The sequence below is a fragment of the Homo sapiens genome, chromosome 12, assembly GCF_000001405.40.
Source record: "Homo sapiens chromosome 12, GRCh38.p14 Primary Assembly".
NCBI lineage: Eukaryota > Metazoa > Chordata > Mammalia > Primates > Hominidae > Homo > Homo sapiens.
Genome location: NC_000012.12, coordinates 88,137,614 through 88,159,448, shown reverse-complemented (window position 1 = coordinate 88,159,448; position 21,835 = coordinate 88,137,614). Strand labels below are relative to the sequence as shown.

General features: G+C 36.1%; 2 protein-coding genes across 27 annotated transcripts in view, besides 3 other annotated features; one reads left to right on the top strand and one right to left on the bottom strand.

The window, feature by feature from the left end:
• The window catches only part of TMTC3 (transmembrane O-mannosyltransferase targeting cadherins 3), a 57,581-nt gene extending 40,439 nt beyond the window's left edge, over positions 1–17,142 (bottom strand). For 2 of the 6 annotated variants that reach the window (NR_159381.1, NM_181783.4), the window contains exons 1-4: positions 16,962–17,142; positions 10,945–11,161; positions 5,940–6,158; positions 5,062–5,161 (exon numbers count right to left, since the gene is read on the bottom strand). Coding sequence is in view for 4 of the 6 variants with exons in the window: in NM_181783.4 (NP_861448.2) it covers positions 5,062–5,161; positions 5,940–6,158; positions 10,945–11,133 (508 nt within the window). In the remaining 2 variants the exon portion in view is untranslated. The remainder of the gene's footprint in view (positions 1–5,061; positions 5,162–5,939; positions 6,159–10,944; positions 11,162–16,961) is intronic. The other 4 variants (NM_001366574.1, NM_001366579.1, NM_001366580.1 and 1 more) reach the window with 4 other exon arrangements.
• Positions 16,772–17,275: an enhancer, noted in NCBI's record as "H3K27ac hESC enhancer chr12:88535951-88536454 (GRCh37/hg19 assembly coordinates)". NCBI's record gives its function as "activates a minimal SCP1, AML or CMV promoter by ChIP-STARR-seq in naive H9 embryonic stem cells {active_cell/tissue: H9 hESC(naive)}" and the evidence as "EXISTENCE:reporter gene assay evidence [ECO:0000049][PMID:30033119]".
• Positions 16,772–17,521: a biological region, named in NCBI's record as "H3K27ac hESC enhancer GRCh37_chr12:88535951-88536454".
• Positions 17,082–17,521: an enhancer, noted in NCBI's record as "active region_6700". NCBI's record gives its function as "activates an Ori minimal core promoter by ATAC-STARR-seq in GM12878 lymphoblastoid cells {active_cell/tissue: GM12878}" and the evidence as "EXISTENCE:reporter gene assay evidence [ECO:0000049][PMID:35858748]".
• Positions 17,361–21,835, top strand: part of CEP290 (centrosomal protein 290) — a 93,073-nt gene continuing 88,598 nt past the window's right edge. For 18 of the 21 annotated variants that reach the window (XM_017019983.3, XM_047429563.1, NM_025114.4 and 15 more), the window contains exons 1-5: positions 17,361–17,549; positions 18,115–18,243; positions 18,416–18,493; positions 19,885–19,954; positions 20,258–20,304. In XM_017019983.3, coding sequence (XP_016875472.1) covers positions 18,142–18,243; positions 18,416–18,493; positions 19,885–19,954; positions 20,258–20,304 — 297 coding nt within the window. In that variant the 5' untranslated portion in view covers positions 17,361–17,549; positions 18,115–18,141. Of the gene's footprint in view, positions 17,550–17,574; positions 17,717–18,114; positions 18,244–18,415; positions 18,494–19,884; positions 19,955–20,257; positions 20,305–21,835 lie in introns of those variants that run through there. The other 3 variants (XM_047429560.1, XM_011538757.4, XM_047429562.1) reach the window with 3 other exon arrangements.

Sequence of the window (21,835 nt, the reverse complement as noted above, 5' to 3'; positions counted from 1 at the left end):
CCTCAAGCCATCCTCCCACCATGCTGGGATTCCAGGCACGAGCCATTGTGTCTAGCCCATTTTTATAAAAACTAAAATGAAAGTGGTTAACAATAGGCACTTAAATAAATACTATTCTTCAAAAAATTTGCAATAGACTATAAGTTCTATTTAAATGAAAAACATACTTCATCAACTTTAAGTAAGTGTCTACCATGTAGTAGTAATTTGACTAAAGAGTAATGAACTGTGAAAGTTCATTGTGAACTTGTGAGTTTGGGCAGCTTTTCCAGGCTTCAGTTTTCTTATGAAAAACTATAATCTCTAATTCTTTTCTAGTTTAAAAAAAGATCTGGTAGTATGACTGTGTGATCTCAGTTTGGTTTTCTTTTTTTTTTTTTTCCTTTTTTTTTTTTTGAGACAGAGTTTCGCTCTTGTTGCCCAGGCTACAGTGCAATGGCACGGTCTCAGTTCACTGCAACCTCTGCCTCCCAGCTTTGAGTGATTCTCCTGCCTCAGCCTCCCGAGTAGCTGGGATTACAGGCATGCACCACCATGCCTGGCTAATTTTGTATTTTTTAGTAGAGACGGGATTTCTCCATGTTGGTCAGGCTGGTCTTGAACTCCCGACCTCAGCTGATCCGCCCACCTCGGCCTCCCAAAGTGCTGGGATTACAGGCGTGAGCCACTGTGCCCGGCCGTGACCTCGGTTTTTATTAAGACTATTAACTAAAGCAAAAATTCAAATAATTGACTTAAATCTAAATATAAACAAGAACAGAATTCATGAATACATTTTCTTCTGTCACTGGGCTTAATATAGAAATACATATTTTTGAAATTGTTTTCAAAGTACTCTGTAGACTAAAATTACTGAAGGAAAAAATAACCGAAAACAAAGAAATAAATGAAAAAAACCAAACCCATGAAACTATTGCAGATACTAAGTATAATAATACTCTTTCCTTAAAAAAAAAAATCTTATAATCTCATTAGGCCAAAACATCAATACTAATATAATAGATTATATTACACTACAATGCTAAATTCAACAAGAACTTCATAGAGGAAGAAATCAGAAGATGGTTATTTACAAAACAGGCTGGACCTAATGTTGGCCCTTGAAGGATATAGAAGCCATGGAAAAATTGGGAAAGGTGGATGTAGAAATAAATAGGGGTGAGAGTAAGCTAAGCAAATGAAGGATATAGAGAATAGTATGAATGGATGTGTATGTCTACATAAAAACTCATAGGAAATAATAGCATTGAAAGCAGATATTTTAAACAGTTTATATAGCCAGTTTGGCATATATTATTTCACTGAATCTTAAAATCACTCTATGGAGTAAGAACATGGATGTAATCATACCCATTTTTAAGATGAGGAAAGAATTGTAGAGGTATTTTTTAAAAAGTAACAAAGAATAAGGAGACCAAGACTTTAACATGGTTCTTCTGATTTTAAAGTCAGAGCTTCTCAGTAATTTGTATTTCTACTTCAAGGAAGAACAAGCAAATGGTTACCTTTTACAAACTTGAATTCCATCTCAACTAAGAGTAATAAATGCAAATGTCTTACTGAAACCAATCACTTCAGTTCTTCAGCCTCTAGTGACTATATTACTATATAAACACTTTGATTTTACAATCAGATCACTGTGGTTAAAAGTTACATGTGATTTTGTCCAAAACAAGTACACCTGGTAAATAAGTTAAGGACACTTAAATCTATTCCCATTTCAAAATACAGGCTTCTAAACTGACTCTACATGTGTAAAAGAAACACATCTTCAGCAATCACTTATTCAAACAGTTATTTTAAGTATCTACTACATTTCAAGGGTATAGGGAAGAGAGACAAGTAATAATATACTCTGTCAAATGGTGACAACGTTTAAGTGTTATAGAGAAAAAAAGAGGATGAAGGGAAATAAAAATAGTACCACTGGGAAAGATGAGTAGTGATATTGATGACATTTAAGTGGATATTTAAGCAGAAACCCAAAGTAATAAAAAATCAAGTGTAAAGCCCTGAAATTGGATCACCATATTTACAAAAGGGGTATGGGACATGAATATAGAAGTTAAAATGAATATAAAGAATTACAACTTGAAAACCTTTGCACAGGCCAGTGTATACTAGATACAATAGGGAATACAAAGATGATGTGGAAACTGTGGCTTCAAGGGTAAAATTACTAAGAGTACAAAGTATCACAGTGGTTAAGAGGATAAAGAGAGGTCCAAGGTAGATTTCAGTATTTTTTCAATTAGAATTTAAAATACATTACATTCATTCACTTACTTATTTCTTCAATATACTCATACTAAACACCTACTGTAAACTAGGAATCATTTTAGGAAATGAAGATCAAAAAATGGAGAAAAAGTTACCTACCCTAAGGAAGGTCACGTTCTATTGTGAGAAAGCAATAAACAAAAGAAAAATGTAAACTATGTATTTTCAGGTTAGAAATGAGTATTTTCAGAAATGCAAGTTAAAGGTATAGAAAACAACATTACTCTGTTTTTGTTTCGCTCAAATGGTGAACTAGCTTGACCTGTTGGTCCTTTCCCCAAAAATCAACCCTAGAAAAAGGTAAGTAAGAGGGAAAAATAGTTTCTAAGACACTTTTTGTAAAAAAAAAAAAAAAAACACACACACACACAAAACCTTAGCATTTCGAGGTTATTTTAAGCATGTGTGGTTCTGTGAGTGTTATGAGGGATTACATTTAAGGCAGAAGACAAGAGTGGGAATTTTTTTTTTTAACTTTTGTTTTATCCTCTCCTGACTGCTTTGGGTAGATCACTCTCTACTCTGTTACTGCAGAAATCCACAGCTACAATGGCTAGTGGGTGTTCCAGAGGTAAAAGCAGAGCACTTCAGAAGTCTTGATGGGGTAAGAGGTAGATATTTTTTAAAAGGTACAAACCAACCAATCACTCCTAGGCAGTAACTTCTACAGAGCTACCATTTAAATGCAGAGGGATGGTGGACTGGCCTCTTAATGCTGATTCTCTTAAAGAAAACAGAGAGTGTGCCTAGTAGCACTGGTAGGAACAACAGTGATCCACAGCAGCTCTGCGGAACCTGGAACTTTATATCCTGGTTTATAATTCCTTTCATCCCTTCAGACTCACAGGATGAACAAAGAGTGGCCCTGGCCTTTCCCTTTAACAGGCACAGTAGTTTATAACTTTAGAAGAACATGTGCTTGAGCTCACAAGCCAAAACAACTCAATATCTGAAGGATACAACAATCATAAAACAGAGAGAACAAACATAATAACATATACTACTAAATCAGAATTACTTAAAGAGACAGACCAAGAATTTCAAATAATTCTTTTTTTTTGTTTTGAGATGGATTCTGTCTCCCAGGCTGGAGTGCGGTGGCGTGATCTCGACTCACTGCTACCTCCGCCTCCCAGGTTCAAGCGATTCTCCTGCCTCATTCTTCCGGGTAGGTGGGACTGCAGGTGCCTGCCACTACGCCTGGCTAATTTTTGTATTGTTAGTAGAGACAGGATTTCACCACAATGGCCCAGGCTGGTCTCAAACTCCTGACAATGTGATCCGCCCACCTCAGCCTCCCAAAGTGCTGGGATTACAGACGTGAACCACTGCACCCAGCCCAAATAAGTAATTCTTAAGGAAATACAGCAAGATATTAGAATTGTAAAGAATAAGAAATCATTAAAAAGCACCAAGTACAAGTATTTGGAACAAAAGATATAATATGGTGAAAAGCTATTTCAGTTAGAACAGGGAAGGCTTTTCTAAGACAGAAATACTTAAGCTGAGGCCTGATAATATAGAATAGTGTATAAATGAGACTACTACATAAAGATCTAAGGGAAGAAAATTCAATAATGGGAAATGCAGGTATAAAGGTGGGTGCTCTGCCTGTTTGGGAACAGCAAGAAGGTCTATCTAGCTATAGTGAAGACAGCTAGGGCAAGAATGGCAGAAGATATGATTAGACAGGTAATTGAGAGCCTGATTATAATCCTGTAGGCCACAGTATTTTCTAACTTTACCATTCAGGCTTTGGTGAGGATGGTACTTAAAGAGGATACTGGTCTGCAATTCCATATTAGTTACAAAAGTACCTCCTACTACATGATGCACTGCACAGGTAGGGGACTATTATTATGCACATTTAACAGATAAAGAAATGTTAAGCACAGAGAGGTTAATTTGCCTGATGTGTTACGGTGAATGGAACTAGTAAATAAACAGTGGAGCTAGAATTTGAAACCAGACTCTTTAGTCCATGCTTTTAAGTACTATGCTATGCTGCCACTCAAATTGTTTTAAGAAGGCATTATGCAGAGCAGCAAAGGCAAACCTACTATTACAAATCCAGAACACTCTTAAGATGTTTGGCTAAATCATGTGTTTCTTGAACCTCAGTTTCCACACATAAAACTAGTCTTCTTGTCATGAGTACCTTGGAACTACAGTGAGAAAATCTGCCCCTTCCCCAAGAACTTAAAGGTTTGTGCCCACTGTGCCCACACTTGAAAAAAATCATTTTTATTGCCTAGAACTTGTTTTCTGATAATGCCAGGAATCATTAAGAGTAATGAGCTAATGTATTCGAAGCACTTTCCAGGGTAGGTCACAAGGTAGGAGCTCAATAAATAGCTATGATCAACACACAATAAAAGTTATATTCTAGGAGGCTTTTAACCTTACCTAAACAATATGACAGTCTACCAGGTGTTATTTATCCAAAGACAACTGAAATACTGGAATCTATATCATTAATAGATAACAGAAGATGGAACTAGGACTAACTCTAAAACTCTTCTATTCTAAGGTTATTTGGTTTTTAAAATTAGATCATATAAAATCTATTAGCTCAAGATAAAAATATAAATTATACACAAACTTCCTAAATACTAGCAATGTTACATATTTCATATTTTCACATATGCTAAAGTAAAACAATACATAAAGATAAATCCCAAATGTGGTATATAATGTGTTATAAGAAGCACTTGGAGTAAATAAAAATTCCTTAATCAAGTTTTAGCACTATTAAAAAAAAATCAAATGTGAGACATGTACTTATGGAATTGTCTGGTCCTTTTGATCTGGTATATGACAAAAAAGCTGCTAGAAAAAAGATAGATGACAAAAGTTCTGCTCTTCCAACAACTCCTGTTACCTAGAAAGGAAAAATGAAGGGGGTTCATATTAATAAAGAATATCTTGAAAAATTACTATATATAATGGTAAAAATACTTTAATTTCCGTAACTTTTCAAGTGCACATTTGTTTCTTAAACATTCTTTGGGTGCCCTCAGGTGGTGAATTTGTGAATCTTACATAAATAGACATTTATTAGTGACTCTTAACAGTTTATACTTTTTTAAATTTATTTTGAAATAATAATAAGACTTATAGGAAGTTTCAAAACTAGTAAAGAGAGATCTTGCGTACTCTTTATCCAGCTTTCTCCAATGGTAACCACGTAAATATGGTAGAATATCTAGAACTTAAGTACTTCTTACATATTTTCTTAAAATACGAATGTTCTTAATATACAAAGGCACCATAAATTCAAAAAGTTACATCTCATAATAAATCTGAAAAATAAAGTTTAAAAAGACAATAAACTTTAAATAGTCCTTAGAAATCTTGTTCATTAAAAAAAGTGACCGAAGAACTGTATTCATGTATATATTTCTAAACAGATTTTATATTATTGAATGAAAAATGTTTATGTTTCAAAAATGTTAAATTTAAAAATTTTACACAGTAGGAAGTTATACTTTGCATACTAGGAAGTTAAGAATTAACTGTACGAATTTAAGAGTCTTCAAATATTTGGATTAAAGTCAGGGTTAATTTTTTTTTTTCTTAAAAATATATACCATTATAATCACTGTGCAGGATTTGTAAAAAAGGAAAAAGAAAAAAAGTCAGTTCATAGTTTTACTTACTGCTTCTGTGTGTATTGGGTGCACTGCAAAAAGTAAAGAAGCAATCACACTACTCTTGTTGTCCAGAAAAAGTTTGCATACTTTGAGAAATATCACACTAACCACAGCATGAAAAATCATATTCAGGAGATGATATGACATTGGTTTTAGTTCACTTAACAAATAATTTAAGCGAAATGTCAATACTGTTAAGGGACGGTAAGACTTGTGGCTTCTCTCCTACAAGGAAAAAACGATCAGTGATTATTAAAGTACCTTGGTCCAACAGGGTACAAAAGCTCATCACTGCATTTACCATTAAAGATATTAATATCTACATTTTACTGAGAAATAACAATAAAATATGAAATGTCGTAAGAGTAACACAAAAATAAAATACAGTTTTATAATCTGTGTTTTTCTATTTCCTTAGGCCACAAACAAGGTTAATTTCCTCCTGGATATACAGTGGTCAGAGAACTAACAGTAAAAGGACATTTGACAATTAATTCCTCTTCAATATAACAATTTTAAAAAAAGACAATGCCGGCATTGGTCAAGTTAGAGCACAGGATTCTCTCCAAAGCCTGCCTCCATATCTATCAGCAATACAAAAGTTCATGTAACTACTGGCTAGATCTTCAAAAGGAAATGTAAGAACAGAATGCTTACCAGTTCAATTAAAATAGTGATGACTCAAAAAGGTACTGTCTAGCTGTTTTATGAAAAACATCTCCATAATGTGTAAATCTGAATATATTAAACTAGGAATTCCCAAATTACAGAGAGTAATACAAGAGTAAAAACTTTCTTAGAATATGCAAATAGACACCATTCTTGTGGTATTCTCCTTTGGTAATAAATAAAATTTCATGTAAAGTACTGAATCTCTTTTTAAATTATAAGTTACATTTAATCAGAAATACTTCTTTCCCTAACACAAAACCAAACCAGATTTAAGAATAAAACACACAGTTCGAATATATATAAAATATTAATAAAGTTATTTTTTGTAGTTTTATACAAAGGGCATTGACATAGTTTGGATGTTTGTCCCCTCCAAATCTCATGCTGAAATATGAGGAGGTTGAAATGTTGAAGGTTGGGCCTGGTGGGAGATGTTTGGGTCATTGGGGTTGGGTCCTTTATGAATGGTTTGGTGTCTTCCCCACTGTAATGAGTTCATGTGAAAGCTGGTTGCTTAAAAGAGCCTGGAACCTCCTCTCCTCCCTCTTGCTCCCCCTCTCACCATGTGATACACCTGCTCCCCCTTCACCTTCTACAGGTAGTAAAACTTTCAAGGCCTCACCAGAAGCCAAGAAGACGCTGTTGCCATGCTTGTACAGTGTGCAGATCCATATGCCAAATAAACATATTTTCCTTATAAATTACCAGGTATTCCTTTATACTAACGCAAAACAGACTAATATACGCATCCATATTCAGCTTCTTTGCTCTTCTACTTCCTATCATATTTTGCTGTAACTTTCTGGCACACAAGTAGACTTAAGCCTGTTCATCCTTAGTAGGGAACATTAGGAAACACAAAGAATAAATCTTTCTCATCTTGAAATTAGGAACATTTTAGTATCTCTGTACTGACTATATACTCCATAATGTACTATCTACTTAGAATGTTCTTTCCTGCTTGCCTAATTCCTTTACATCCTTCAAATTTCATCTCAGGCATATAAAGCTATTTTTAAGGCACTGTACTGAACTGACATGATTTGTACTAGAAAGTAGAAAAGGACTCTAGAAACCCTTCGAGTACCTGAAATGTCACTGTGGCTACAATGGAACATATATTCTAGGTGAAAGGATGTACTCAGAAAGTAGAAGGGAATATGTATTTTGAATTGCAGTATACATAATTGTTCAGTTAGGACTATTAGACATACATATACTATAGGTGATGACCAACTAACAGACAGACCAATTATTAACATAATTATTCACATAACTCATTAGGGATCTATTTCAGATTCCACTGTGACAAATCATCATCAGCCTATTAGATACTAAGTTTACTTTGTGAAAACACCTAGGGCCATTATGAATAAAACAATTCAGATCATTATTACTTTCGGGCATATTAAAGAAAAAATTACTCATGATATTAGTTGGCAATAAAAATACACAACAGTGTAATGAATGATTAAGCTAACAGTTCCCTGTTAATGTGAATCTCAATATAGGGATGGCAAAATCATAATGAGATAAAATATTTGCAGAAGTTACCTTAGCACAAGGTACTTTATAGGCCAAATGCCAGAGGAAGGTGGCTCATTACAGCCCCCTCGCTCTCAGCCACGGCTATACCAAAGAATCACCTGGATGACTTAAACAAAAGCCCCACCCTCCCTCCCACACAAAACAACTAAACACACACACACAAAATAAGACAAAAATATTGATACCTATATCCCACTCTGAGATTATCTGAAATAACAGGTTTGGACAGAGCCTTGGTAATATGTTTTCATTCTTTTAAATGCCCCAGGCAAATTCTAATACGGCAGTCAGGGTTGAGATCCAATGAATTATCAATAAATAGAGCAGCACATATCTATAGCATAAGCCTACTAGAGAGATAATCTAAACACTGAGAGGTTCACATGAGTCCAAAGACCCCTAATACGGCAGTATTTATATGGCTTAGGAGAATGTCCTAAGCCCAAAATGTGTCTTTAAGACCTGCATTGGTACAAAAATTCTTGTAAGATACGTGTGGACACGTATCTTCTAGGCTATCATAACTTGATGATATCAATGATTAGATCTTTGAATATGCTAATTCCAGGCTTATCATGAAACCTATGACACCTAAGGATTACCTAGAATAATTTTCCCTAGTGTCACATTTGCCTTCAGGGAGAGAATATGCCCATCAGAAAATACAAGGAAACTACACAACTACACTCTTCACTCTTAATAAACTGTTATTCTAGTTTGTTCATCCATTCTGTCAGAACATATGAGTCTTTTTCTTAGTCCATCTGCTTACGGGCTTTCTGAACAAAATCAAATTTTCAATCTGCAAAGCTGAGAAAATCACTGAACAGATCACTGACACCATGGTATGTGATATGTGTGTGTCCCTGCCCAAATCTTATATCAAAATGTAATCCCCAATATTGGAAGTGGGGCCTGGTGGGAAATGATTGGATTATTAGGGTGGATTTCCTATGAATGGTTTAGCACCACCCCACTTGGTACTGTATTTGCTACAATGAGTTCTTGAGAGAGCTGGCTGTTCAAAACTGTGTAGCACCTCCCACCGTACTCCTCTTGCTCCTGCTTTTGCTATGTGAAGTGCCTGCTCCTGCTTCCCCTTCTGCCATGACTGCAAGCTTCTTGAGGCCTCCCCAGAAGCAGATGCTGCTATGCTTCTTGTACAGCTGACAGAACTGTGAGCCAATAAAACCTCTTTTCTTATATATTACCCTGTCTCAGGTATTTCTTCGTAGCAATACAAGAATAGCCTAATCTAGAAAATGAGACCATTTAATATGGCCAGCTAAACCATCAGTTCAAAACCTCAACATTATGATTAAAATCATAACAGATACTAGCATAAATTGAGGGAATGGACACATAGTTCTGAGGGTCTCTGGAGATCAAAGGTAGGTATAGAGGAGGACAAGCTGTGTAGAATAATGTATAATAGGGCCATATTTTCCCCCTTACTATCAAAAGATTTTTTTTCAAAAGCTAGAATTGGGTGAGAACAAAAAGGCGAATAAAGTCTTCTTACTAAATAAGACAAAATAATTATATGTGCTTGTGATCAGAGGAATGAAAGATTCCATCCCTAACCTTGAGAGGCTTCCAAATTTGGGGAATGGGGAAAGAGGCCACAATGACCGAGAAACATACTGTTAACATTGCAGAGAGTTACATGTTATGTTTCAACAATTTATTCAATATCTATGTGCCAGGTAGTGTAGATAAAATAATTCATTTATTACTTGAGACCTTAAATGACTTATGTTTTTATTCTACTTTTCCACCTGGGAAATTTAGGTTTATTAATATAGAATTTTAGTTTAGAAATCAATATCCCCCAGAAATTTGAAGCATTACTCTCTTTTTTATTTTGGAAAGGAATTATCCTCTTTTACAGATCAGGAAAATTACTTTCCATCTGAAAGATGTATTCTCACCTATTTCACACAGTTAATATATGACATAACTAAAATTAGAATCCATTCTATATGATATCAAGCTGATAAGGGTTTAATCCCAACAGTTTAACAGTGACCTTCAAAACAGTAAAAATACCCTCATAAAAATGAACCATATGGATGAATAAAATATTAAATTATTGAACTAAACTTTTGGGTTCTCGATATATAACCTAAATAACTATTATGTAAGAGATAGGACAAAGATTCAAAATTTGTAATAACCACTTCTTCTGCAAGAGAAATTGGCAATATGTGTACTTACTATTTTTACTCTTAAATTCTTATCTATTTATATTGAAGTTGCCATATTTTAAAATGTTGAAATATATCACATCTCTTTTGCCTTACTCACAAGACAGAAAAAAGAGAAATAAAGTCAATTAGCAAGAAACAGGCATGTATTACACCTATTGCTCTCCCTATACATTTGGTTTTCACATAAATATATATTATTTTTAAGAAGTTAAGCCAAAACTACCTATTGGGTACTATACTCGCTGTCTGGGTGACAGATTGGTACCCCAAACATCAGCATAACGCAATATACCCACGTGACAAATCTGCATATGTAGCCCTGTATCTAAAATAAAAGTTAAAAAAAAAAAAGCAGCAGCCAAGGTACACAGGCAAAGAAATAACCAAGTACTGCTTTAAAGTACTCATCCTCAGCTTCCTGTTCAATTTATTACAAACATGTTACGTTTCATATAAACATTTTAGGGTTAAAAATCTGTAACTGTTGTGATGATAATGTTGATAAAGAATTAGAAGTAATAAAATACCAGAATATTTCAAAATCTGAGACATGTACAAGTAATATGTAAGTAATTACTTACCTCAGACATAGGGGTTCCCCAGAAGTCATTTTGAAATAAAGTTTTTAAAGGTGTAGATGGATGCAAGTCTTTGTTATCCAGTATTGCTGAAACATCATCAAAAACAAAACCACAAAAGAGGCTGTTCCAATAGCAGGCAGTAACCACACCTACTATTAAGGTTATTTCTTTTAGGTTAATATTAGCCATCTTTTCTATAAGCACTTCTGGACAAAAACTGGAAAAAAAATCATGAAGATAAAATAAGGAACATATTTATTCCAAGTAAGTTCAATTTTAGTAGGTGGGTAAGTAATTGCATATTAATTCTCCAGAGAAAAGCGCAGCTAAAATGCCATCCACTTCTAAGAAGCATAAGCTAGTCACATTGTTGAAACTCAGCCCCATCTCTTACTGGATAATGTCCCTGATAACGGGGACATTATGTCAGCCCCCTCTCTTACGGGATAAAGCCAAGTAACCTCTCCTATTCCAAGGCAGAAGACTGGAGGTTTCCTCTGTGGATTATTTAAAACATAGGGTCTCTGATAACAGGGAAAAGGCAGCATATTGAAAATAAAGGCTAAGTAAAAAAAAGTCTGTCCATATATTTTAGGTTGAGACCCTCCATCCCTTTTCTACTGGGCACAAAATTCTGTAAAACTTTACAACACTGAAAACAAATAGGATTCTAAAAGCTTCTGGAAATAAAAAAGGTTCCAGAGTAAGGATCAGGAATCAAAAATCTTTTTTTTTTCACCCAAAATGCTGTTAGAAACAAAACAAAACAAAAAATTCCCTTCCAAAATAAAAAAGGAGTAATGCTTCAAACTTCTGAGGCATATTGATTTCTAAACTAAAATTCTATATTAATAAACCTAAGTTTTCCAGGTGGGAAAGTAGAATAAAAACCTAAGTCATTAAAGGTCTCAAAAAATTTACCTCTGATGTTCCTTTTCAAGAAACTAGGAGAAAAGGTACACTAGTAAAATGAAACAGTATATTAAGAAACAAAGATACAGAAATCAGGAAATGGGATCCAATATAGGACAGCTATATATACATGTTGTAATTTAGAAAAACCGAATGAAACAACTCAGGATATCTACCTTTGGGTAGGTAAAAATCAAGTTTTGTGTACAGGTCAGAAACCTCTCTTCCCATAAATAACCTCAGGCCACTGGCTTGGTAACATCAATTCACTTGGGGTGACAAACTGTTGTTTGGTTAAATGTTCTAACCACAGGAAAGTTTAAAATTAATAGAAGAAAAAAGTAAATTAAACCTGTGGTTTCAGTGCTTTAAAGTTATACTTGGGAACAACTTATGTATCTAATTTTTAGAGTACTTGCAATGTTTAAGAGAATCTAACATCCTGGAGACTTGATACATTAGCTGTTAAATTATTGTTAAATTAAATAATTTAAAATAAATTAAATAATTTAAAAATATATAAAAATATACAATAATATGCATAATAAACAATATTAAATTATGCATCTGATTTTTTAGAGTAACTGCAACCTTTAAGAGAATCTGACATCCTGGAGACTTTGATATATTAGCTGCATAACTATAATTTTAAAATATACAATAATACGTATAATAAACATATTAAACATAATAAACATATTAAACTACTGACTATGTAGTTTCTGGATTCACAACTATAGTTGAAAAGTATAATAATTAGCTAAATACACAAATAGTATTGGAATTTTTATAAGAACTTGGGATTTGCTATAGTTTCAAGTTTTATTTCCTAAATTTAATCAGTTATTTAAGTACTGAGAAAGTTTTCTTTGTTAAGTTAGGCATCTGAAGTACTTAAAAATGAATACATTCAAAATAATTCAATTCTTCAATATATCTTTATTTTACATATATATACATATATATGTATATATATATATACACACACACACACACACACAAATATATAGGTATGTATATGGTTCTTCTGTTAGTTGTGCCTGGGGTCACTCATGTGCTTATAGTTATCCAGTGGCTTGATTAGGGCTGGATGGCTTTTAAAGGGTAGATTTCTCAGCTTTGAAAACTAGTCTCTGCTACTTATTAACACATCCTCTAATAGGTTATCTTAGGCTTCTTAAATGATGATCTCAGGACAACAGGAGGGCAAGGTTCAATGCACAAGCTCTTTATAAGGCTCTATTTAGTGCGTATTTTAAAAATTATTATTCAAGCAAGGTACATCCTGAATCAATGGGGAAGAAGTTATAAAAGGGCCAAGATAACAGAATTTTTAAGATTCCCCAAGGGAGCATAGTATGAGAGAAAGGGAGAGAGAGCATGTTACGAGCTCAGTTGTGGAGTCATCTTAGGTTACTTCCAAGAGCCACCTGCAAAGTAGAGGTTGCAGGGAAGGGACAGATTTACACAAAGGCATAGGCAGACGGGGACCTGACTCACTGGGGGCCATTATTGCAAACATGTAACACACTATTCTTGTTAGTTGTGAGAACTTCTAATTTTTCCTAGGCACAGAAGCAGACTTACAGATGCAGTTTAAGTGGATGGGATGACTGATTTCTGTTTGCTTACAAAAATGGGGTGTTACTATATATGTGCACAAAATCCAAGTGCAATTGGAAATGTGAAAGGAAAATAAAACTTGGGATCTCAATTCATTATGTCTATAAGAAAAAATTAGGGTGAAAGCTGAGTCATGCAAGAAACTGCTCTCCTTTTGTTCTTAGCAGACAGCTACACATCAAATGTTAAATATCTCCACAGGTAGCTACTTTAGGACATTCATCTTATCTCACGTAAAGTGCTGATTTACCACCCCACGTGAATACATAATATCTATTTCCCTCTCTGCTCTTTTTCTCTTGCAACACATAGATTACCATATCTACCCTTTTTCTCTTCCAATGGATTTTTCCCCTTTAAATACTGAAGCCCTCAAAATCATCTTAGAGAAAGGAAGAGACTACAGACTGTTTCTGTGATTCAGTGTTTATTTCTTTTCGGCATGTCCCTAACCTTGGCAAAATAAACTTCTAAATTGATTGAGACCCGTCTTAGACACTTTTTGGTTCACAAAGACTTCTCATGAGCTACATTATAGATATACAAAACTAAATACAATCCCTTCAATAAAACTGTAAATTGTATTAAGGCAAATTGTTTTGCCTTAATTTCATGGACAAGAATGAGTGTGCAGCAAGCAGATACTTGTCTTCCTTCAACATGAGGAAACTGGAAAGATCAGTAGGGAGTCAGTGTGAATTAAGCCATTAACCATGGCTTAATTTGCCATGAAGATAAGGCAAAACAAAATGTTTAGGACACACAATGGATACAAAATGGCCATGCTTTGTTTTAGAGATCGGAGAAGTAAGCTACTATGACTTTTCTTGGTAAGTCAGCAAAAAGGAACTAGAAGTAACATCCAAGGAATATAAATTCATTGCTACAGAGAACAAAGGTAAGCAATAATAAAAGGTGAGGCCTTCTTGTGAAGTGATTTTGGTCAGATAAAACTGTTCACAAAAGCCTAGGGCAGAAAGAAGGCAGGTCCAGACAAGTGTTCTTATAACAAGGCCACTTACAACATTGTCACATAAGTCCCATTTCTTGATGAAAACTGACAGGTGCAGAAAATCTGACGAAAAATAATAGTTTTGCCAATTTTCCTCAAAAATATACAGTGAGTTATTGAACTAGAACCTGAGTTAAATTTCCTGACTCACACTTAGGTACAGACGACAATGCATAAAAACTTAGTTGACTTGTTCAAGCCAGAGCTGACTTGTTCACTGCTGTATCCCCAGTGCCTAGCACAGGAAACAGGATAAAAAATACTGTTAGAATGAGTTAAAGAATAAAATTTAGGTAAGATTTTGCTTTTAGTTACAATTGTCACTGAGATCTAGGTTACAATCTTAGCTTCATCAATTATTACTTAACTTCTATGAACTTGTTCTCACTTCTGAAAAATTAGAATAAAATTTACCATTAGAGACCAGGCACCTTGAGTTTATGAATGTGAGCAAGAGGGTGGTGGCAGAAGGGTAGAAAAGAGTAATACAGACAAACGAAACTTGTAAGTGAATACATAAAAATAAGTTATAACGAATGAAAAAAAAAACAGAAGAAAAGGTGTTAGAGAAAACAGACTTCTATTATGAAAACAAACACGCAGTAGTCAGCATAGTGTATGACATAACATGTGCTCAGTAACTATTAAATTTCATTCCTACCATTGTCAGAGGTATTTGAATCACAACAACTCCATCTTGAATAGGGGCTGGGTAAAATAAGGGTGAGACCTACTGGGCTGCATTCTCAGGATGTCTGTCAGTCATTCTAAGTCACAGGATGAGATAGGAGGTGGGCACAAGATACTGATCATAAAGACTTTGCTGATAAAACAGCATGCAGTAAAGAAGCCAGCCAAATCCCACCAAATCCAAGATGGCGAGAAAGGTGGGACGTCTGCTCGTTCTCACTGCTCATTATACACTAATTATAATGCATTAGCATCCTAAAAGACACTCCCACCAGTGCTATGACAGTTTACAGATGCCATGGCAATGTGAAGAAGTTACTCTATATAGTCTAAAAAGGGGAGGAACACTCAGATCTAGGAATGGCCTACCCTCTTCCCAGAAAACTCATGAATAACCCACCCCTTGTTTAGCATATAATCAAGAAATAACTATAACAATCCTTAGTCTACCACCTCCAATGGGGGTGTATGCACCTCCAATTCTTTCTTGGCGAGATCCAGGAGCCCTCTCCTGGGGTCCAGATCAGAACACCTTTCCAGAAACACCATCCCATGTTAAATTATGAATTAAGAACACTGAACATGAAGAATGTTTAATTCAAATTATTGAGTAAACACTTACAAAATTAAAATATAACATTTAATAAAAATAGCAAGATTGAGGAACAAGCACTTCACAAATATTGGTTTCCCAGAATGTCTGAGGAGGTGTATAGAAGTTAAGAATATGTCCTCCAGCCAGAGAGATCTGTGTTCAATCACACTATTTAAGTTACTTAGCTTCTCCAAGCCTCAGTTTCTTAACTCAGATGGAAAATGAGGACAATGTAAGCACCTATTTCACTGGATTGTAAGGAAGAATAAACAAGATAATGAATAGTATTTGGCATATAATCTTTCAGAAAAGTAGTAAAATTGTCATTCCTATAAATCTAACTAATGTCTTTAAAATTCATCTCACAAAATCAGTATCTTTTTATTTTGTACTGAGCTACTTATTTTACCCAAATTGGGGGTTTAAAAAGAAACTCATTACTTATTTTCGAAAGGAAAATTTACTGTCAAGTACAGTAATTTTTTTTTTAAAGCAGCGTTTAAAAAAAAAAAAAGACAAAGCACTGGTCCAGATAGTTGGAAATGTCATTTAGATTTAAGTCTACAGCTTCTTAGGAAAGTTAGGTAGAGATGTATCATACTCCAGCATGATTGTGAGCAGACGAGCAGGATGAGCAAAACTTGCACGAGTAAGAGTGGTAAACACCAGAGAAGGCGCTTTCATGGAAGGGCACCCTAGGTAACCAAGCAAGTGGCAACAATAGTACAGGTGAGTCCTTGGATCCCTTCTCTCTCCACCCCCGGCAGTGGTCCGGACAAGTACTAACCTCTCCTCTCTAGAGCCTTGACTTTATACTAGCTCCACAACCATCAAGCCCCACGATCCGCGAAAGGAATGGTGCTACAGGTAAGGCGGGCGGGGTCGGGATGCCGAGACCTCTTGTCAATTCTTCGCTCGCCCCCAAACGAGGATCACGGCTGCGCGGCTCTCACTCTAACTATCAAGACAGATTCTGATACTAAACAAGGCTAAAACTTTTTGTTTTTTCCTTCTTACAGAAGGCACTACCCTGGACGCCGCTTGCAAACGCCTGAAGAGAAGGCAGGGTGTTCCCACTTTTTCAGAATGGGACCAGGCCCTACGGCCCCAATAGCAGAAGCTTCTCTAACCCAGGACTGCTCCCCTCAATTCCTCCCAATATGCTGACCGACAGCTCGACCTCACCTGGGGGCGGTTCCGCCAGGGGATGGCTTAGGAAAACCTCAGGAAGAGCAGCCCAGCGAGTGACGCCACTGAAACCACAGTCATGGTCTACCTCGTTCAGGCCACCAGTTTGCAGGCGCCTGAGCCGCTGCTCCTCCCGCCTCTCGGTCCTTCCCCGCCGCCCCGGTACCGTCGCAGTCTTACGCGTTGCATGCCGGGAGCGCCTTACCTCCTCTTCTCAGGGACTTCAGTTCCCAGCATGCAGAAGCCTCAGGCAGAACTGCACTCTGGGATTTGAAGTCCTCGTTCCACGCCTTCTCATCATCCTGAACACCGAGCTCTGGGACTCCGGCGGAGAATCTAAACGTAAAGCATCACCCACGGTCGTGAACTGTAGGCTCTCCTGGCATCCGGGATCTTATTCTGGCCTTGGCGGAGTTGGGGATGGTGTCGCCTAGCAGCCGCTGCCGCTTTGGCTTGCTCGGGACCATTTGGCTGGACCCAGAGTCCGCGTGGAACCGCGATAGGGATCTGTCAGGGCCCGCGGCCGGGTCCAGCTTGGTGGTTGCGGTAGTGAGAGGCCTCCGCTGGTTGCCAGGCTTGGTCTAGGTGGGTGGATCCTTGTAAGCAGGATTAGCGAGTCACTCCACGCTCAGGTTCTTTAGCCTGAGGGCCCGTGTGCCACAGCATAGCTACCCCGCCCTTCCAGCCTCGGGTCCCTAATACTGCCTTGCTTCGGTTCCAGTTTCCGCCGCACAACTTCACTCATTCCAAATGTTAATTTCTGCGTTTTTTTTCAGCCCCAATTCTGTTTCTCCAAATCAGGGATGATTGTCGGCCTTCCACAGACCCTCGCGCTTGCCAGGATTAGGGTGTTCGCGCGCATTGTGGGTAGGGGTGTGGAGGAAGGGATCCAGAAATCTTAAGTATTAACTTAGATTAGTGTTAGCAAGGAAGCCGTCACATTTTATTTAGCCGGGACACTCTGACAGTTTGTGCCGACTGCTATTTTTGATCAAGGCTATTTTGCCCACTTGTCTATTTTGTGGCCCAATTGTCTGTTTTGCTAACATCAGAAAGTTATAATGAAATAATCTGCAAAAAATGTAAGGTGCTAGAAAACCAATAATACTGTGTACCTTGAAAATGCTAATATACACCTGTTTTGTTACAGAGGTGGAGCACAGTGAAAGAATTCAAGATGCCACCTAATATAAACTGGAAAGAAATAATGAAAGTTGACCCAGATGACCTGCCCCGTCAAGAAGAACTGGCAGATAATTTATTGATTTCCTTATCCAAGGTGCTTAATTGGTCAATAATAATAGATATATACATTAACTTATGATTAATTTATTAATAAAATATGAATTTATTTTTTTCAGGGACAACTATAATTGTCACAATCTGGAAGTGTTCTTATATTTTGCTTGAAGGTTATAAAATATAAAACAGTTGCTTTTCTGTTTACTTAGGTGGAAGTAAATGAGCTAAAAAGTGAAAAGCAAGAAAATGTGATACACCTTTTCAGAATTACTCAGTCACTAATGAAGGTTTGTATGTAGTAGGTTTTAACTATAGGTTTGGCTATTAGTGGAACTATAAAAATCTGTTCTTATATAAGGTAATCTTTGTGAAAATACCTGGTAATATCTACATCACCACTAAAAAATGCAATATATTTAAATGTGAATTAAGTATTTTAGTGTATAAAACATTGCTAGTTTCTACTTAAAGTTTCTAAAAGGGTGTGTAGGGGAAATAGAATGAGTATGTTGAAAAGTAACATAAGGAAATATATCTTGAGGTCCAAATGACAAATGCAGACAATGACTGCTATAGGGATTTGTTAAGAGGGGAAATGATTTAAGAGATGTCAGAAGACTTCACAAAGGATCAATACTGAGGAGTAGTGTTAGATAAGTGGAAGGCAATGCAGTGGTAAGATAGTAAGGGAATTCTAGAGCTGTTGGTTACCATAAATAAATACTGAGAACAGGAAATATGTTTATTCTTTATATTTGAGGAAACAAGGTGCAGCAAGTTTGTAGCAGACTGTAGAGAAAACAAATCTTGGGTAAGTACTTTGAGATAGGTTGTTGAGGGCCTTAAAGGTGTATTTTATGCTATCAGCAATTGAGAAGGCAGTAAAGGTTTTCGAAACACAATTGATAGGTACAAAAATACACCTTAAGAAGGCAAAACTGAGTATATTATGTAGGACAAACTGAAGGAAATTGGAGCTTTGTAGACATCACATTATAGCGGAGTTTAAACCTGAAATTATGGATTAGAATAATAGCAATTGGAACAGAAAAAAAGTAGTGGAAAGACATTACAAAGGGAGATGTTGCATTACTGGATATAAGACTTGAGGACTTGAGGTAAAAAGGAGAATCAAAAATGTTTCATGCTATTAAAAATCTAGAAATTGTAGTCTTAAGTAAGAAAATTGCCTGGCATGGTGGCTCACGTCTGTAATCCCAGCACTTTGGGAGGCCAAGGCAGGAGGATTGCTTGAGCCTGGGAGTTCAAGACTAGCCTGGATAATATAGTGAGTCCTTGCCTGTACGAAAAAATTTGCCGAGCATGATGGCACACCAAGCATGATGGCACGCCAAGCATGATGGCATGCACCTGTAGTCCCAGCTACTCAGGAGACTGAGATGGGAAGATTGCTTGAGCCCAGGAGGCAGGAGGTTGCAGTGAGCTGAGATTGTGCCACTGCACTCCAGCCTGGGTGACAAAGTGAGGCCCTATCTCAAAAGCAAAAAAAACAAAAACAAAAACCAAAAACTATTTATTCAGCAAATATTTACTGAACGTCTCCATGTGCCAGCCATTGCTGGCACTAAGGATCATAACAAATAAAACAGAATTTTTATTTTCAGTGCTTACATTCCAGTATAAAGGCATATTGAAATAACCTTTTTTTAATGTTTAGATGAAAGCTCAAGAAGTGGAGCTGGCTTTGGAAGAAGTAGAAAAAGCTGGAGAAGAACAAGCAAAATTTGGTAAGCACCTTGGAAAAAGTTTATTATGGTATTAAATAATGAATTCCATTTGTTCATTAAACTGTAGAAAATTAAATTATATTCTATAAAATATATATATTCAGTTTATTTTTAATATATAACATTTAATAATAAATATTTCTAGACTCCTATTTTATGGATCTGCCATATAATACTTTTTGTTACCTTATAATCATGATGGACTCTTTTAAAAGAATTAATTTTGTTATTGAAATTTATTTAAAAGTTTGTTTTGTGGTAACTAATCAATTAAAACGTTTTTCTTTTTTTTTAAAAAAATAGAAAATCAATTAAAAACTAAAGTAATGAAACTGGAAAATGAACTGGAGGTATGTCTTTTTGTATTCCCTAGGATGTAATTGTCATTAATTTTATTTTGAATTGTTTTCAAATTTTAAAATTATTGTTGGCTGGAAAAATTATAAGGATGATTGTAATCATGGTTATTTGTTTATTCTGTATATGTTCTACATGCCTATTATGTGCCTTATATAGTACTAAGGACTGAGCATATGGTTGTGAACAAAATAAGAAGTTAACTGCTGGATGGAGCTTATAGTCTTGGGAAATATACAGAAAGATTACTAGTAACTGAGGTGGAGGGTGGGTGGGGATTTGAGGAATAGTGACGAAAGGGTGTTATAGAAGTAATTTTTGACAAAGCTGAAGGCTAAAATATGAATGTATTGTTGAAGAACAAAATACATTGAGATTCCTGAGAAGGTAGGAATGTGATACAAATGGATCAGCCTTTGAAAGGAGGAATACCCTTTTCCTTTGTGTTAGGAGAGGAGGATGAGTGGATGAGCGTGGGAAGAGTGGATGTGTATAGAGGCTTTTATGTTTGTAGGCATAATGCTTGGAAGTTGAGGGGTTGGTGATGACATCTTCTGTTAAAAAGAGTGGGAAATGGTGTGGTCACATTTTAAGGAAATTAGGTAAAATTTGAAATATATTGGAGACAGGACTGGAGAGTTGGGGATCTGGAGTCAGACAGATTTGAGTTCTAGTCCTGATTCTTCTACTCGTTAACTCTCTGAACTTGGATGACCTATTGTTTTTGATTGTATATCCAGCTCCTGGGAAAATGCCAAGCACTTTCAATAAATACTAAATGAATTATGGAGTTGGATCAGTTCTGTGTTAGTGTTTAGCTAGGTAGCTGCTGTAGAATAGAAGGGTAGCACAGTTGAAGATATTGGTAGGAAAGTGGTTGAAGTGATGATTATGAAGTCTTAACTGAATAGATAAAATCAAGATTGGGGTTGGGTGGGCAGAAGGGTAGGGATATGGAGGGAGAAGATGAGGGGTTAGAGTGTCCTGTGAGGTCGAAGGACAGGCATAGTGGGAATAATTGAAAGAATGTTCTGGTTGGACAAGGATCTGATGTGGGTGTGGGAGTGAGAGACTATAGTGAATTCAAGAAAAAAATAGACTAGAACAAAAGTTATGTGGAGATTGCTTAGTGGGCATTTGATAGACATCTGTGGGCCACATGCTTAAATTCCCAGTGCATTTTGCGGAGTTACTGGAAGGTTGGTGGCTTGTTTCTACCATGAGTAGGTAAAGATGGAGAGCAGGATATTTTGTGAGAAAGCAGCTGAAGTTTCTATAGGATGATGGAGGAATGATAGGAATGATCACCTGAAGTTGCAGGGTGGGGTAAACCTAGAAGCACCAACACCTTCTTCTGACCCTCATGTATTTGGAATCTGAAAGAATGAGCACCTTCCAATTGAAAGAGTTCCAAGGGCATTAGTATACTAAAGGATCCAAATTGCAGCTAAGCCAAGGAGATGGAAAGGAGGATTCAGTAAAGAATCTGAGGATGTGAAATATTAATTTATCTTGGAAGAGAAT